The 15,387-nt window shown below is 54.6% G+C and overlaps 2 protein-coding genes across 11 annotated transcripts in view, besides 3 other annotated features; one reads left to right on the top strand and one right to left on the bottom strand.

Annotated features, from left to right (window-relative positions):
- Nucleotides 1–15,387, top strand: part of DOCK6 (dedicator of cytokinesis 6) — a 63,230-nt gene that overhangs the window by 13,317 nt on the left and 34,526 nt on the right. For all 10 annotated transcript variants that reach the window (NM_020812.4, XM_047439124.1, NM_001367830.1 and 7 more), the window contains exons 7-21: nt 1,057–1,142; nt 3,330–3,396; nt 3,496–3,645; nt 5,326–5,406; nt 5,498–5,651; nt 5,823–5,950; nt 6,056–6,149; nt 7,001–7,163; nt 10,904–11,021; nt 11,093–11,163; nt 11,429–11,567; nt 11,651–11,752; nt 12,329–12,415; nt 12,631–12,862; nt 13,449–13,610. In NM_020812.4, coding sequence (NP_065863.2) covers nt 1,057–1,142; nt 3,330–3,396; nt 3,496–3,645; nt 5,326–5,406; nt 5,498–5,651; nt 5,823–5,950; nt 6,056–6,149; nt 7,001–7,163; nt 10,904–11,021; nt 11,093–11,163; nt 11,429–11,567; nt 11,651–11,752; nt 12,329–12,415; nt 12,631–12,862; nt 13,449–13,610 — 1,834 coding nt within the window. The remainder of the gene's footprint in view (nt 1–1,056; nt 1,143–3,329; nt 3,397–3,495; nt 3,646–5,325; nt 5,407–5,497; nt 5,652–5,822; nt 5,951–6,055; nt 6,150–7,000; nt 7,164–10,903; nt 11,022–11,092; nt 11,164–11,428; nt 11,568–11,650; nt 11,753–12,328; nt 12,416–12,630; nt 12,863–13,448; nt 13,611–15,387) is intronic.
- Nucleotides 4,917–5,727: an enhancer, noted in NCBI's record as "H3K4me1 hESC enhancer chr19:11354157-11354967 (GRCh37/hg19 assembly coordinates)". NCBI's record gives its function as "activates a minimal SCP1, AML or CMV promoter by ChIP-STARR-seq in primed H9 embryonic stem cells {active_cell/tissue: H9 hESC(primed)}" and the evidence as "EXISTENCE:reporter gene assay evidence [ECO:0000049][PMID:30033119]".
- ANGPTL8 (angiopoietin like 8) lies at nt 7,265–9,589 on the bottom strand. The gene is made up of 4 exons (NM_018687.7): nt 9,274–9,589; nt 8,912–9,073; nt 7,654–7,763; nt 7,265–7,548 (listed from the first exon to the last, which is right to left on the bottom strand). The coding sequence occupies exons 1-4, from the start codon at nt 9,568–9,570 to the stop codon at nt 7,521–7,523; spliced, it is 597 nt and encodes a 198-aa protein (NP_061157.3). The 5' UTR covers nt 9,571–9,589; the 3' UTR covers nt 7,265–7,520.
- Nucleotides 11,263–12,073: an enhancer, noted in NCBI's record as "H3K27ac-H3K4me1 hESC enhancer chr19:11347811-11348621 (GRCh37/hg19 assembly coordinates)". NCBI's record gives its function as "activates a minimal SCP1, AML or CMV promoter by ChIP-STARR-seq in primed H9 embryonic stem cells {active_cell/tissue: H9 hESC(primed)}" and the evidence as "EXISTENCE:reporter gene assay evidence [ECO:0000049][PMID:30033119]".
- Nucleotides 12,074–12,884: an enhancer, noted in NCBI's record as "H3K27ac-H3K4me1 hESC enhancer chr19:11347000-11347810 (GRCh37/hg19 assembly coordinates)". NCBI's record gives its function as "activates a minimal SCP1, AML or CMV promoter by ChIP-STARR-seq in primed H9 embryonic stem cells {active_cell/tissue: H9 hESC(primed)}" and the evidence as "EXISTENCE:reporter gene assay evidence [ECO:0000049][PMID:30033119]".

The raw sequence follows: 15,387 nt of genomic DNA, 5'->3' as shown, positions 1-15,387 counted from the left end.
TTTATCCAACAAGCATGTATTGGGTACCAACTGTATATCCCTATATTTATTCAATACATGAATGCCTACTGTATAGTTCTCTATTTAATCAACCAATATCTATTGAACACCTACCACATATGTCTATTTTTATCCAACCAACATTTATTTGGTACCTAGTATATACTCCTGTGGTTGTATTTGGCCATTTATTGAGTGCTTACTATATACACCCATATTTATTCAATCAGTACTTACTGGGTGCGTTATTGGGTGTATATCCCTATATCTCCAGTCAACATTTATTGAATGCTTTCTGTATATGCTTATGTTCATCCAACTAACTTTTAGTAGGTACCTATTGTATACCTCTATAATTATTCGACTAACATGTTTGGGTACCCACTGTATTGTTGGCATTGGGGATATAGCCATGAATAGAGAGACCCAGTCCCTGCCTTCAGAGTTCACTAGCGGAGGAGAGACCTCTCTACTAGGAACGTATAACCCAGACAGAGTAGTGCCATGATGAGGTGCTGGTAATTGTCCCTCACACGGTCCTCAGTGTCCCAGCCACCATGGCTCCTTACACCAGGACATTGTGGGCACCCGAAAGAGGTGCCTGCCCAGGCCTCAGGGGTCAGGGAGGACTTCCTGGAGGAAGTGTTGGCTAAGCTGCAATCCCAGCTACTCCGGAGGCTGAGGCAGGAGAATCACTTGAACCTGGGAGGCAGAGGTTGCAGTGAGCCAAGATCACACCACTGCACTCCAGCATGGGTGACAGAGCGAGACTCCATCTCAAAAAAAAAAAATAAGCTTCTATATATGGACACCTACTATATACCTCTATATAGTAGAAGTATATATGAACAGTGAGCAGACATTAGCGAGACAAGGAGGAGTGGGAGAAGATGGGCATTCCAGGCAGGGGAACAGCACGTGTAAAGGCTCAGAGGCAGGGATGGAAAGACGGTTAGTCAGGCTGGGGTAGAGCTGGTCTGAGGCTGGGCATTCCAGACCCTTCCTGGAGGATGTCCCAGCTCCTCCCGCCCAGCTCCCACCCCCCACTCTTGGCAGGATGAAGCCGTGGAACGCTGTAGCCGCCCAGAGCCACCCCGCGAGCACTTTGGACAAAGGATCTTGGTCAAGTGTCTGTCGCTCAAGTGAGTATACTGACATGTCTCTCTTCTTAGATGCGTGAAGCAACCACATGGGTTCCGGCGGGGTACACACTACATGAGTAGTGCCATTACCGTGTGCGGCCCTGTCACCTATGTGGCCACCTATGTATGGGCTTTTATGGGGGAAGGAAGACTTCCTTTTTCATTATCCCGAGTCTCCAATCCTTAAGTGCCAATTGTATGCCAGGATCAGTTCTCAGCCTTTCATGTATATGAACCCGTCTTATATTCACCACAACCTCATGAAGTGGGCACAGGTGGGGAAACTGAGGCACAGAGTGGTGACATGACGCCAAGACCATACAACTTGTAAGGCTGGAGTCTGGCGCTTGCCTGCTCTGCTGCTGGGATCCAGGGTTTGGCCGGGAGGCTTTGGGGCGGGTGCTAGTGACCCTGGGCCTGGCTCTCAGCCGCCCAGGGCCCCTCCACACCAGCCCCCGGGGAGCAGCAGAAGTGCGTGGGAACAGAGTTGAACAGGATGTGGACTTGGACCTGAGCCTGGCCCTGCCGCTCCCCACCCCGAGTTCTTGCCTGGATCGGGGCAGGAAAGGGAGGCTCCATTCTGGCCTGAGGCCTGGGTGGGCCTCCTGCCCTAAACACAAGGATTGGGACCTGGCTCTGTGGGCTCATCCAGTCATTCAACAAACACTTATTGGCCGGGCACGGTGGCTCCCACCTGTAATCCTAATACTCTGGGAAGCCAAGGCGGGCGGATCACCTGAGCTCAGGAATTTGAGACCAGCCTGGCCAACATGGCAAAACACCATCTCTACTGAAAAAAAAAAAAAAAAATTAGCCAGACGTGGTGGCAGGCACCTGTAATCCCCACTACTTGGGAGGCTGAGGCGGGAGAATCTCTTGACCCGGAGGGCAGAGGTTTCAGTGAGCCGAGATTGTGCCACTGCACTCCAGCCTCAAACAAACAAAGAAACAAAAATAAAACATTTATGAAGTCCCTACTGTATACAGGACACATAACCATGCGATGACCACACAGAGCCGGGATAAGCGATGCTGAAAGTGCCTAGAGTCCTGGAGGAGTCCCCTGGCCCAGCTTGAGGGGTGCGAGCGGGTATCTGGGACAGCTTCCCTTGCAGGGGGACGTGTACATGGAGACCCAGTGAGGAAGAGGAGCTGGCTGAATAGAGAGGATGGAAGGGGTGTAACGGGGAGTGCTCAGTGTTTCAGTTTGGAGGTGCGTGGTGAGCGGAGGCCAGCAAGGTGGAGTAAGACAGGGAAGGACTTTTATGGTGGCCGTTCAGGTGAGCGAGATGGGAACTCCGTGCAGAGTGACAATGGCGGCAGATGACACCCCAGAAAGGAGGGATGGGGAAACCCGGAAGTTGAGAATTTCAAGATGTGGGGATTGTTGAGCCCAAAACTGCCCCCATGCCAACGGAACAAGGGCCGTGGTTGCAGGGAGGAGGAGCTCTGTGTGAGTTACTTACTGAGGGTGTAGGGAGGGGGAAAAAAACTTCAGTGTCGGCGGGGCGCGGTGGCTCACGCCTGTAATCCCACCACTTTGGGAGGCTGAGGCGGGTGGGACCAGCCTGGCCAACATGGTGAAATCCCACCACGCACTTCAGCCTGGGCAACAGGGGAGACTCTGTCTAAAAAAATAAAATAAAAAATTCACAGCAAGCCGGGGACGTGATGGCTCATGCCTATTATCCCAGCACTTTGGGAGGCAGAGGCGGGGGCATCACTTGAGCCCAAGAGTTTGAGACCAGCCTGGGCAACACAGCGAGACCCCGTCTCTATATAATAAATAAATACATACATAGAAACCCTGTCTCTACTAAAAACACAAAAAATTAGCTGGGCATGGTGGCACGTGCCTGTAGTCCCAGCTACTCAGGAGGCTGAGGCAGGAGAATTGCTTAAACCCGGGAGGCAGAGGTTGCAGTGAGCCGAGATCGCACCACTCCACTCCAGCCTGGGCAACAGAGCGAGACTCTGTCTCAAAAAAAAAAAAACCAACAAAAAACTTCAGTGCCTCAGTTTCCCCTTTTGCAAAATGAGATGTACCTTTTCTGCAAGCCCTTAAGTGGCGGTTCCATGTGGCCCAGTGGGAGTCAGATGCCCCCCACCTTGGGCCTCAAGAGGGAGTGGGGTGTGTGGACAGCGGGAAGTGTTAAGGAGAGCCCCCTCCCTCCCATTTACTTGTAGGTTCGAGATTGAAATTGAGCCCATCTTTGGGATCTTGGCTCTGTATGATGTGCGGGAGAAAAAGAAGGTAGGAGGCCCTTTTTTCTCTTTCCTCCCCTTCCTTCTCCTTGTTGGGGGGCTGTGGGCTTCCCAGAGGTGGTGGCCCAGCTGCCTCTGGTGTCCCCAGATCTCGGAGAACTTCTACTTCGACCTGAACTCGGACTCCATGAAGGGGCTGCTTCGGGCTCATGGCACCCACCCTGCCATCTCCACCCTGGCCCGCTCTGCCATCTTCTCTGTGACCTACCCCTCACCTGACATCTTCCTGGTCATCAAGGTGCCTGCTGGGGCTGGGCAAGGGGGTGGTAATGGCGAATGTCACTGATTTAGTCCCTGCCTTCACAGAATGAGACAGATACATCACCAAGAAGGGTAATCAGGGCTGTTGTGGGGGAAACACAGGCAGGGAGGAGGCCCCTGATCCAACTCAGGTGGGGAGAAATCACCAAGGGCTTCCAGGGAGAGGCGACAGTTGAGCTGATAACTATACGTGGGCAGCCTGGGGAGAAAAGCCATCCCTAGGCACATGTGACAGGCTGGGGTCCTCGGAGGTGGGTGAGATGCTGTTGGGAAGTTTGTGGACAGATGAAAGACATAGTTGGCACCCTCATTTGAGATTTTCTGTTTCTGGGAGGGAGGTCAAATTTCTTTTCTCAAAACCTTCTATTAGTTTGCAATGATGAAATGAATCCAGTATCCACAGGCAGGTGCTGCTATGGTCACGCTTCACAGGGATCCCTCCTTCAGTCCTCACCACAGGGCCTAAGGTGGAGGGGTGCCATGGTTCCCATTTTCCAGATGGGGAAACTGAGGCACAGAGTGGATAGGGTCCCACTGCCCAGGGTCCCACAGCCCCTGAGTGGTCAGGATTGGAGTCTAGGCCTCATGGCTCAGAGCCATGCCCAGAGTGGCCTCTATTTACACTAACAAAGAAAAATGTAGGGAAGGCCAGGCACAGTGACTCACAACTGTAATCCTAGCACTTTGGGAGGCTGAGGCGGGAGGATCGCTTTAGCCCAGGAGTTTGAGACCAACCTTGCCAACATGGTGAAACCCATTCTCTACTAAAAACACAAAAATTGGCTGGGCGCGGTGGCTCACGCCTGTAATCCCAGCACTTTGGGAGGCCGAGGCAGGCAGATCACCTGAAGTTGGGAGTTCCAGACCAGCCTGACCAATGGTGAAACCTCGTCTCTACTAAAAATACAAAAATTAGCGGGACGTAGTAGCAGGCGCTTGTAGTCCCAGCTACTTGGGAGGCTGAGGCAGGAGAATTGCTTGAACCCGGGAGGCAGAGGTTGCAGTGAGCCGAGATTGTGCCATTGCACTTCCGTCTGGGTGACAGAGCGAGACCCCATCTCAAAAAAAAAAAAAAAAAAAAAAAAAAAGCCAGGTGTGGTGGGTCATGCCTGTAATCCCAGCTACTCAGGAGGCTGAGGCAGGAGAATTGCTTAAACTCAGGAGGCAGAGGTTGCAGTGAGCTGAGATCCCATCACGCACTTCAGCCTGGGCAACAGGGAGACTCTGTCTAAAAAAAAAAATTCACAGCAAGCCTGTTATCCCAGCACTTTGGGAGGCAGAGGCAGGGGCATCACTTGAGCCCAAGAGTTTGAGACCAGCCTAGGCAACATAGCGAGACCCCTGTCTCTATATAATACATACATACATACATACATAAATGTAAATAAATAAGTAAATTTAGGGAAAATATCACCAGCTAAAGGTAGGCTTGGAGGTTAGGGGTAGATCTGAAGAATGGGAGGGAGTAGCCACCAGGCAGGCCAACACTAACCCTTGATCCCAAGGACAGCGGGAGCCATGGGAGGTGTTGGAGCAAAGGCCTTCATATGTTAGGAGTGTCCGAGGGCCCATGAGGGGTCCAGGAGGCTGGGGAGCCAGCACGGGGGAACAGAGCGTTCGGGCAGCGCCTCACTGGATTCATTCATCTGCCCCGCAGTTGGAGAAGGTGCTTCAGCAAGGGGACATCAGTGAGTGCTGTGAGCCTTACATGGTGTTGAAAGAAGTGGACACAGCCAAGGTAAGCGTGTGGAGGCTGGACTAGGGGCAACAGATCCCTGACTCAGCAGGGCTAGGATGCTGAGCTGGCAGGGGACGGGGTCTCCCCACAGAACAAAGAGAAGCTAGAGAAGCTGCGCCTGGCGGCCGAGCAGTTCTGCACCCGCCTGGGCCGCTACCGCATGCCCTTCGCCTGGACGGCCGTGCACTTGGCCAACATCGTGAGCAGCGCTGGGCAGCTGGACCGGGACTCTGACTCGGAGGGCGGTGAGGAGGCGGGGCTAACAGGCTTGGGGCGGGGCTAAAGGGTGGTGCTGACAGGCCTGGGGCGGGGCTACGGGGCGAGGGGGTGCGCCCTCTGCTGGCCGAACTGTGCCGCCCCTGAGTCTCCCTGTTTCATCTTGGTCCCCCTTTTGTCATTGTCATTCCCTCCCCTAGAGCGCCGGCCAGCCTGGACAGACCGCCGCCGTCGGGGGCCCCAGGACCGGGCGAGTAGTGGGGACGACGCCTGCAGCTTCTCTGGCTTCCGTCCAGCCACGCTAACTGTCACAAACTTCTTTAAGCAGGTGTCCTACCCTGGGGCCAGGGACTCTCCCACTCCCCGCTGGCTGCATTAGCCCTGGGGACCCCTAGCCCCCTGGCCCAGGCTGACGGGAGTGGGTCCCATGTAGGAGGCTGAGCGACTCAGTGACGAGGACCTCTTCAAGTTCCTGGCTGACATGAGGCGCCCGTCGTCCCTGCTGCGGCGACTACGTCCTGTGACTGGTGCGTGGCACACCCCATACACAAGAAGTATCACTCTCACTCAGCCACTCAACAAACCTACACTGAGAGCACCTACTGTGCCAGGGGCATCAGAGACCCAACGATGACCATGATGGACAAATCCCTGACCTCAGGGGCTGGCTACAGCTTCTAATGGGGACCATAGACAAGAAGCAGAATAAATAAGATGGATACAGCGTCAATAGGTGGTTAATGGCAGCGGGGCAGGCAGGGGTCCTGGGGGCAGAGTTGATCAAATGTAGGGGTAAGGCTGGGGTGCAGTGGCTCAAGTCTGTAACGCCAACACTTTGGGAGGCTGAGGCAGGAGGATGATTGTTTGAGCCCAGGAGCTCAAGACCAGCCTGGGGGCCAGGTGTGATGGCTCATACCTGTAATGCCAGCACTTTGGGAGGCCGAGGCGGGCAGATCACTTGAGGTCAGGAGTTTGAGACCAGCCTGGCCAACATGGTGAAATTCCATCTCTACTAAAAATACAAAAATTCACCAGGTGTGGTGGCACACACCTGTAATCCCAGCTACCTGGGAGGCTGAGGCAGGAGAATCACTTGAACTGGGGAGGCAGAGGTTGCAGTGAGCCGAGATCGCCCCACTGCACTCCAGCCTGAGCAACAGAGTGACTCCACTTAAAAAAAAGAAAAACAAAAACGAAAAAAAATTTAGGGTGACAGACAGCAGAGTTGAGGGCAATTTCTGGCCTTGGCGCCTGAGGGACACAGCCCCCAGTCCCCAGAGAACATCATGGGAGAGTCTGCCCTGACTACACAGCCCAGAAAGGGTGGGCTGAGCCAGGAGGCTCCCAGGCAGGTGCAAACCGGTTCTTCCCTTCCCAGCCCAGCTCAAGATCGACATTTCTCCGGCTCCTGAAAATCCCCACTTCTGCCTCTCCCCTGAGCTGCTTCATATCAAGCCCTACCCGGACCCCAGGGGCCGGCCCACCAAGGAGATTCTGGAGTTCCCCGCCCGCGAAGTCTATGCCCCCCATACCAGCTACAGGTACGGCCTCTGGGGCCCAGCTGGGCACTTGAATGGGAGGTATTCATACATCATGCTGGGTGGGGTCTCCCTAAGCCAAGGACACACACAGACACCCTGGGTGAGATGCCACGACTCTGCTTTAATGAGGGGTGTGTAGGCATGAAAGGGTACATGTCCTTCCTCCACCCCTCCCCAATGGGGCTACATCCTCTGCCTTTGTCCCCGCCTGCGTCTGTCTCTGCTCTGTGCTCAGAAGTGGGGCCCGGCGCCCTGGCTGATCCCAGTGAACAGGCAGCTCCTCCCTGCACAGGGGCCTCACGGGGCGTGGAAGTGTTCCTTGCAGCATGATTGGTCCTCAGTTCCATCCAGGCAGATTCAGGCTGGGAGCGCCGCTGTGTGGAGTCTGGGGAGGGAGATGTGGCTCAGCCCAGGTGAGGGGGCCCCTTTCCAGCTGCCCTGTGCGCCCCCCATCCAACTGCCCTGCCTGCCAAACCCCTGCCAGGCTCACCTCTCCTGGATCTGTCGCAGCCGATGCTGCTGTGCCACCATCTCCCGCCTCTGCCGCTGCACGTGGCCTGTGAGGGCCCATAGGATGTGGCTCTGCTTGTCAGCGTGAGCCTGTGGGGGTCAGAATGGAAACCTCAGCCGACAGCCACCTCACCTCCCATCCCCTGACCCTCTGCCCCAGCCCCTCATTGTATCTGTGTGACCCAGCAAGTCAACAATGCTCTTTGGCCTCAGTTTCCCCATCTGTAAAATGGGGATAAAATAGGACTCACTTCATGGGGAGGTGATGAACATCCTATGGATTTTTTTTTTTTTTTGAGTCTCTCTCTGTCACCCAGGCTGAGTGCAATGACACGATCTCAGCTCACTGCAACCTCCACCTCCCAGGTTCAAGCGATTCTCCTACCTAAGCCTCCTGAGTAGCTGGGACTACAGGCATGTGCCACCACGCCCAGCTAATTTTTTGTATTTTTAGTAGAGACGGGGTTTCACCATGTTGGCCAGGGTGGTCTCGAACTCCTGACCTTAAGTGTTCCACCCACCTTAGCTACCCAAAGTGCTGGGATTACAGGCATGAGCCACCATGCCCGGCCATCATATGGATTATTAAAGGGCATAGAACAGTGCTGGGTACTTACTGGGTGCTCACAAAATGTTACCAGTTTCTCTAGTAGTAAGAATTTATTGGCCAGGTGTAGTGGCTCACACCTGTAATCCCAGCACTTTGGGAAACCGAGGCAGGCAGATCCCTTGAGGTCAGGAGTTCGAGACCAGCCTGGCCAACATGGTGAAATCCCATCTCTACTAAAAAATACAAAAATTAGCTGGTGCACCTGTAATTCCAGCTACTCAGGAGGCTGAGGCAGGAGAATCACTTGAACCTAGGAGGTGGAGGTTGCAGTGAGCCAAGATCACACCACTGCACTCCAGCCTGGGCAACAGTGAGACTCTGTCTCAAAAAAAAAAAAAAAAAGAATTTATTGAGCACCAACTGTGTGCCCGCCCCATGCTGAATATTTTACCTGCATTGAGTACCTGGCCCTACTGTGAGATATCAGGTGTTGCCCTTATTTGCAACTGAGGCACACAAAAGGGAAACTGAGGCACACAAAAGGACTTGAGTTTTGTCTGGGGACATGCAGGGTAGAGGCCACAGAGCTGGGAGGCTGATCTGGGAGGTCTTTGGGACTCAAGGTGCAGAAGCGAGTTCTGGCCGGAAATCAGGGTCTCAGCCCACTAGGGTTGGGGGAGCTCCTTACCTTTAAGACCTCAAATTCTCGGTAGGCAGGGCCCAGCCAGGCGCTCCTCAGCTGGACTTCTAGCCGCTGCACGCTGTCCCGTAGCACCTTCTGTGCCTGGGCCACCTCCCCCAGCACCTCAGCTGTGGCCTCTGCCTGCAGCTGCAGAATATCCTCCTCCATCTGCTTAATAAACAGTGGGTCACTAGTAGGATGTCCAACTCATCTTTGTGTACCTAAGGACTTGCCTGAGTTTATCGCTGAAAATCTTGTATCCCAGGAATCCCTTCAGTCCTGGGCAAACCAGGATGGTTGGTTACCCTAGACACGAACTCCTCTTTGGACTCCTGGCCACCCCACAGTGTCGCAGCTACGGTGCCCACCTGAGTCTCCAACAGGCTTGCCCGAAGTTCCTGGGCTGCATCCCGGCCCCGGCTGACCTCCTGCCCCAGGAGTTCTATTGTGCGGCCATAGAGACCCAGGCTGTTCCTGGCCTTTGTCAGCCGTCCCTCCGTGGTCCTGTACACACCGTTGAGGGCCTGGCCCAGCTGCAGGGTCCCATGGAAGAGCAGGGTCAGCTCCTCATGCTGTGCCAGTTCTGGGCCGCCCATGGGGGCCGCTGAGGCAGGCCGGGTCACCATTGCCAGGGCCCAGAGCAGGCACAGAGCAGGCACTGGCATGACTGAGGGTCTAAGGTATAGCCACAGCACTGTCACTGAAGCCTTTTATGCCTCATACCCCCACTGATCCCCAGTCAATCGTTAACTGGCCGACCTGGTGCCCCGCATTGCACAAGGGCCTGGCAGTGGTGCGATAGTTGCATCAGGCGAATGTCCGGCTAGGCCACGCCGGGATCACGCTTCCTGGGGCTCAGGGCCAGGTGTGGGTGGGGGGCATTGGGAGAGGACGGGCCCCAGACCCTGCTGGGAGTTCCTGAGACTCACCATGCTGAGCCTGTTTCTCCATCTATGAATAGGCATCGCAATGATGATGGTAATAACAGTAAAGATTTTATAAGCATTGATGGTTTGCCCTGAGCTGTTTGACCTGCCATTACAATATCTGCTCTTGTTCCCCTCCCACATACTTGCCACGTGGGGGCTTTTATTGGCCTGGTTAGTATCCAAGGGGGCAGGTGCAGGTGGCAGAGACTCTCCCAAGGTCACACAGCCTGATCTCCAAGACCTGCATATGCCCAGATCACCACTGACTGCCATTTTACTCCGTGGGTGATTGTGCAAGTACCTCAGTTTCCCTGCTTGTAAAATGGCGGTGATGTTAGTCCTGCCTCATGAGCTACTTGTGAGAAGTAAATGAGTTATTTCATGTTGAGTGCTTAGAACAGAGCCTGGCACACAGTAGGCGCGATTATTTCATTGTTGTAGTAATAGTGTTTGGTGCAATTATTGTCATTGTTGTTATTTATCATCATCAGTATCATTACAAAGGCTCAGCTGGAAGGCCTGAAGTGCCCATTATACACATAGGGAAACTGAGGCCCAGAGAGGGGTCAAGGCTTGCACAGAGTTGCCCCTGGGGGAAGGAGGCAGGACTCGGACTCTGGCCTCAGTTTCCCCACCTGAGAAACAGGCCACATAACTCTAGTGACCTCCTGGGGGAAGGGCAGTCAGGCCCTTGGGTGGGGCTTAGGCTTGACCACTGGCCACCTGAGGTACCTTGGAACTCTGGCCCTGAGTGCCTCGCTATTCTCTGCCTTCTGTGTGTCACTGTGCCCCATGAGTGCCTCCAATGTCCTTCTGTATTCCCACCCTCTACCACACTGTTCCCAATCTGTGTTTTTAGGGTGCTCGCTTGTCCCCCACCCTCTGCCCTCTGTCCTATCTCCTGACTGATACCTGTATTACCTCTCACCGGGCCCTCAATGCCCCAGCCTCATGACCTACTCTTCCTGGACTGTCTGTGCTCCCAGCCAGCCTTGTCCCATCACCCCAGCCTTGTATGTGCACCTTCAGGGCCCCTGTCCCTCTGACACCCCCATCCTGCCCCCCACAGGAACCTGCTGTACGTGTACCCGCACAGCCTCAACTTCAGCAGCCGCCAGGGCTCCGTGCGCAACCTTGCTGTGCGAGTGCAGTACATGACAGGCGAGGACCCCAGCCAGGCTCTGCCGGTCAGTGGCTGTGCCCCAGGGAAGGGGGGTAGGGCATCCCCCATGGGTCCCTCATGAATCCACTCTCCCAGGTCATCTTTGGCAAGTCCAGCTGCAGTGAATTTACCCGCGAGGCCTTCACACCGGTGGTCTACCATAACAAGTATGTAGGGGGACACGTGAGGAACTTGGGGGCACTCATGGGGGTAGGAGGATGTCCCTTATATATACACATAAGGCAGCATCGATGGGAAGATGGGGGACAGGAAGAAGAGAGGTAGAGGCTCCCAGAGTGCTAATGAGGGAAGCTGAGGCAGACAGCAGAGACAGTGGGGCCTAGCAGCAATAAGGGCGTGGCATGGCAGAGGTGATGGGGCAGACAGTGGGGACCCCAGCCCCCAGCAGATCCCCCAGCCCGATTCTGCCAGGTCCCCCGAGTTCTACGAGGAGTTCAAGCTGCATCTTCCAGCCTGCGTGACAGAGAACCATCACCTGCTGTTCACCTTCTACCATGTCAGCTGCCAGCCCCGGCCGGGCACTGCCCTGGAGACACCCGTGGGCTTTACTGTGAGCCGTCCCCTCCCTCCCTCCCCCTGAGCCCTCCTCGTCCCCCAACCTGGCCGCAGACCTGACCTCCAGCCTCTCCCCAGTGGATCCCACTGCTGCAGCACGGGCGCCTGAGGACCGGCCCCTTCTGTCTCCCAGTGTCTGTGGACCAGCCGCCGCCCAGCTATTCCGTGCTCACACCCGATGTATGTGCCCTGGAGCTCCTGCCTGCCAATGCACTGTCCCCAGAAGCACTCCCGAGTCACCTGCCTTCCTTCCTGTCAATCCTGGGAGGCTTGTTATCCTCTACTGGTGCCTCCAGGGCCCCCGTGTAGCTCATTATTCCCCTATTAATGCCTCTCTGTGTCCTACATGTCCTCCCCAAAGATTCCCATTGCCTCTCTGCTCCATTCCCACTTTAGCCACCCTGACTGCCTTCCTGATCACTGTCCCCTGCCCTCGTAGTACCTTATCATTCCCCATGAATGCACCATTGTTAATGACCCTAGGCCTCAAATCCTCCTATCCTGTTTCCTGACCTACTCAATGAATATTCATTCACCCTGTGTCTCCATTCTCTGCCCCCGTCTTGGCATGTGGATTTCCAGCCTGCCCAGTGGACCCTCTCAGTCTACTGGGACCAGGGCTGGGGGCAGGGTGCTTGGCTGCACCCCCAGACCGGGCTACACTCACGCTGCAGTGTCGCAATGGCTGGGGCCGCTGGGTGACCTGATCAGTCAGGGAGGGCTGACCAGTGCCCACCTGGTGCCTCCCTCCCACAGGTGGCGCTTCCGGGCATGCGCTGGGTGGACGGTCACAAGGGCGTGTTCAGTGTGGAGCTCACAGCCGTGTCCTCTGTGCACCCCCAGGTACGGGGTGGGCCGGGAACCAAGAGTCCCGCCCTGCTCCCCTCTTGCCTGCCCTACGATTGAGTAACAGTTGCCGATGGCCGGGGAGGTCTGGCCTCAGGCCTTGGACGTGACTTTGGTCAGCTGGACCCAGCTTTAAGGGAAGCTGCTGATTCAGGCAGGGGTGGTCTTCATTCCCTGAGGCCCCACCCTGCTCACTCCACATCCCTACCCAGGACCCCTACCTGGACAAATTCTTCACCCTGGTGCACGTCCTGGAGGAGGGAGCCTTCCCATTCCGGCTCAAGGACACTGTGCTGAGCGAGGGCAACGTGGAGCAGGAGCTGCGGGCCAGTCTTGCAGCACTGCGCCTGGCCAGCCCCGAACCCCTTGTGGCCTTCTCCCACCACGTGCTGGACAAGCTCGTGCGTCTGGTCATCAGGCCCCCGATCATCAGTGGCCAGATTGGTAAGCGAATGTGGCCTCAGACCTCAGTTTCCCCATCCACATGGCTTCTCAGTCCTGAGGTCCTGAGGGATCTTCTATAAGCCCATTTACCTCTCTGGCCATTTTTCTCATCTGAAAAATGACCTCCAGTCCCCTGCACCCAGAGAAGGTCTTCTGTGACCCTTTGGCCCGGGTGCAGCGGTTCACGCCTGTCATCCCAGCACTTTGGGAGGCCGAGGCGGGCAGATCACCTGAGGTCGAGAGTTTGAGACCAGCCTGACCAACATGGAGAAACCCCTTCTCTACTAAAAATACAAAATTAGCTGGGCGTGGTGGCGCATGCCTGTAATCCCAGCTACTCGGGAGGCTGAGGCAGGAGAATTGCTTGAACCTGGGAGGCGGAGGTGACAGTGAGCCGAGATCATGCCACTGGACTCCAGCCCGGGCAACAGAGCAAGACTCCATCTCAAAAAAAAAAAAAAAAAAAAATTTGTGACCCCTTAATGAGCACATGATCCCTCAAATCCTGATGTCTTTATATTTGGAAAGTGGGCGGGGAGGTGAGAGGCCTTGGGCCCTGGAACTTGACCTCTGCTCTGCCCTGCAGTGAACCTGGGCCGTGGAGCCTTTGAAGCAATGGCCCATGTAGTCAGCCTTGTTCACCGGAGCCTGGAGGCAGCCCAGGATGCCCGCGGTCACTGCCCACAGCTGGCTGCCTACGTCCACTACGCCTTTCGCCTTCCTGGCACTGAGCCCAGCCTCCCGGATGGTGAGTTTGTAGAAATCCCTGTGAGACGAGAAATATCTGGGAGAAGAGGCTGGGTGCGGTGGCTCACGCCTGTAATCCCAGGACTTTGGGAGGCCGAGCTGGATGGATCATTTGAGGTCAGGAGTTCGAGATCAACTTGGCCAACATGATGAAACCCTGTCTCTACTAAAAATACAAAAATTAGCTGGGGCCAGGCATGGTGGCTAATGCCTATAATCCCAGCACTTTAGGAGGCCAAGGCAGGGGGATCACTTGAGGGGGTCAGGAGTTCAAGACCAGCCTGGCCAACATGGTGAAACCCCGTCTCTACTAAAAATACAAAAATTAGCCAGGCATGGTGGTAGGTGCCTGTAATCCCAGCTACTAGGGAGGCTGAATCATTTGAACCCAGGAGGCAGAGGTTGCAGTGAGCCAAGGTCATGCCACCGCACTCCAGCCTGGGTGACAGAGTGAAACTCCATCTCAAAAAACAAAAACAAAAACAAAAATTAGCCAGGTGTGGTGGCGCACGCCTGTAGCCCCAGCTACTCAGGAGGCTGAGGCAGAAGAATCACTTGAACCCGGGAAATGGAGATTGCAGTGAGCTGAGATCACGCCACTGCACTCCAGTCTGGGCAACAGAGCAAGACCCTGTTTCAAAAAAAAAAAAATAAGAAAGAAAGATCTGGGAGAAGAGCATCCAGGTAGTGAGAATAGCATGTGCAAAGGCCCTGAGGCCTCACAGGCCTTGGCTGGTTTGAGCAACTTGCAAGAGAGATAATGTTTTGCCCACTTTTGCCCCATCCCTGGGGTGTGGCTTCTGTGTGCTTGGCTGGAAAACGATTCAGATAGTCAGCAAGCCTCTTCAGTAGCTTGGAGCGGAGACTGAAGCTGAGCTGCCTAGATGTGAATCCTGGCCCTGCCACCTACAGTCTCTGTGACCTTGGGCAAGTGACGTCACTTCTCTGAGCCTGTTTTTCCTTTTGTAAAACAGGGATAATAATAGTACCCACCTCATGGGGGCACTGGTAATAGTAAGTGACATAGTAATCCACACAAAATGGTTAGCACATAGTGAACCCTCAATAGAGTTGGATTTTTTTTTTTTTTTAATTTGCCAAATAAACACCAATCCCTATGTGTCAGGCATTATTCTCAGGGTTTTTTTCTTTTTTCTTCTTTTTTTTTTTCTTTTTTTTAAGAGTCAGGGTCAGCCAGGCATGGTGGCTCACGGCTGTAATCCCAGAACTTTGGGAGGCTGAGGCAAGTGGATCACCTGAGATCAGGAGTTTGAGACCAGCCTGTCTCAAAAAATAAAATACGCCAGGCACAGTGGCTCACGCCTGTAATCCCAGCACTTTGGGAGGCTGAGTCAGGCAGATGACAAGGTCAACAGATCGAGACCATCCTGGCCAACATGGTGAAACCCCGTTTCTACTAAAAATGCAAAAATTAGCTGGGCATGGTGGCTCACGCCTGTAGTCCCAGCTACTTGGGAGGCTGAGGCAAGAGAATCACACAAACCCAGGAGATGGAGGTTGCAGTGAGCCAAGATCTCCCCACTGGACTCCAGCCTGGCGACAGAGCAAGACTCCGTCTCATTAAAAAAAAAAAAAATTAGCTGAGCATGGTGGTGCGTGCTTGTAATCCTAGCTACTCAGGAGGCTGAGGCAAGAGAATTGCTTAAACCCGGGAGGCAGAGGTTGCAGTGAGCTGAGATCGTGCCATTGCACTCCAGCTTGGGCAACAAGAGTGAAACTCTCTAAGAAAAAAAAAAAAAAGTCAGGATCTTATTCTG

Source organism: Homo sapiens, chromosome 19 (assembly GCF_000001405.40).
Source record: "Homo sapiens chromosome 19, GRCh38.p14 Primary Assembly".
In the NCBI taxonomy this organism is placed as follows: domain Eukaryota; kingdom Metazoa; phylum Chordata; class Mammalia; order Primates; family Hominidae; genus Homo; species Homo sapiens.
Note: the sequence above shows the minus strand (reverse complement) of the source record. Positions and strands in the feature narration are given on the sequence as shown.

Bases quoted from the DNA above. Each gene is read 5' to 3' on its own strand.
- ANGPTL8 (NM_018687.7), bottom strand. From the start codon at position 9,570: ATGCCAGTGCCTGCTCTGTGCCTGCTCTGGGCCCTGGCAATGGTGACC. The intron at 9,074-9,273 runs GTGGGCACCGTA...TTTATTAAGCAG, and splicing joins CAAGCCTGTTGGAGACTCAG to ATGGAGGAGGATATTCTGCA. The intron at 7,549-7,653 runs GTGAGCCTGGCA...CTCCCTCCCCAG, and splicing joins CTGCGACAGATCCAGGAGAG to ACTCCACACAGCGGCGCTCC.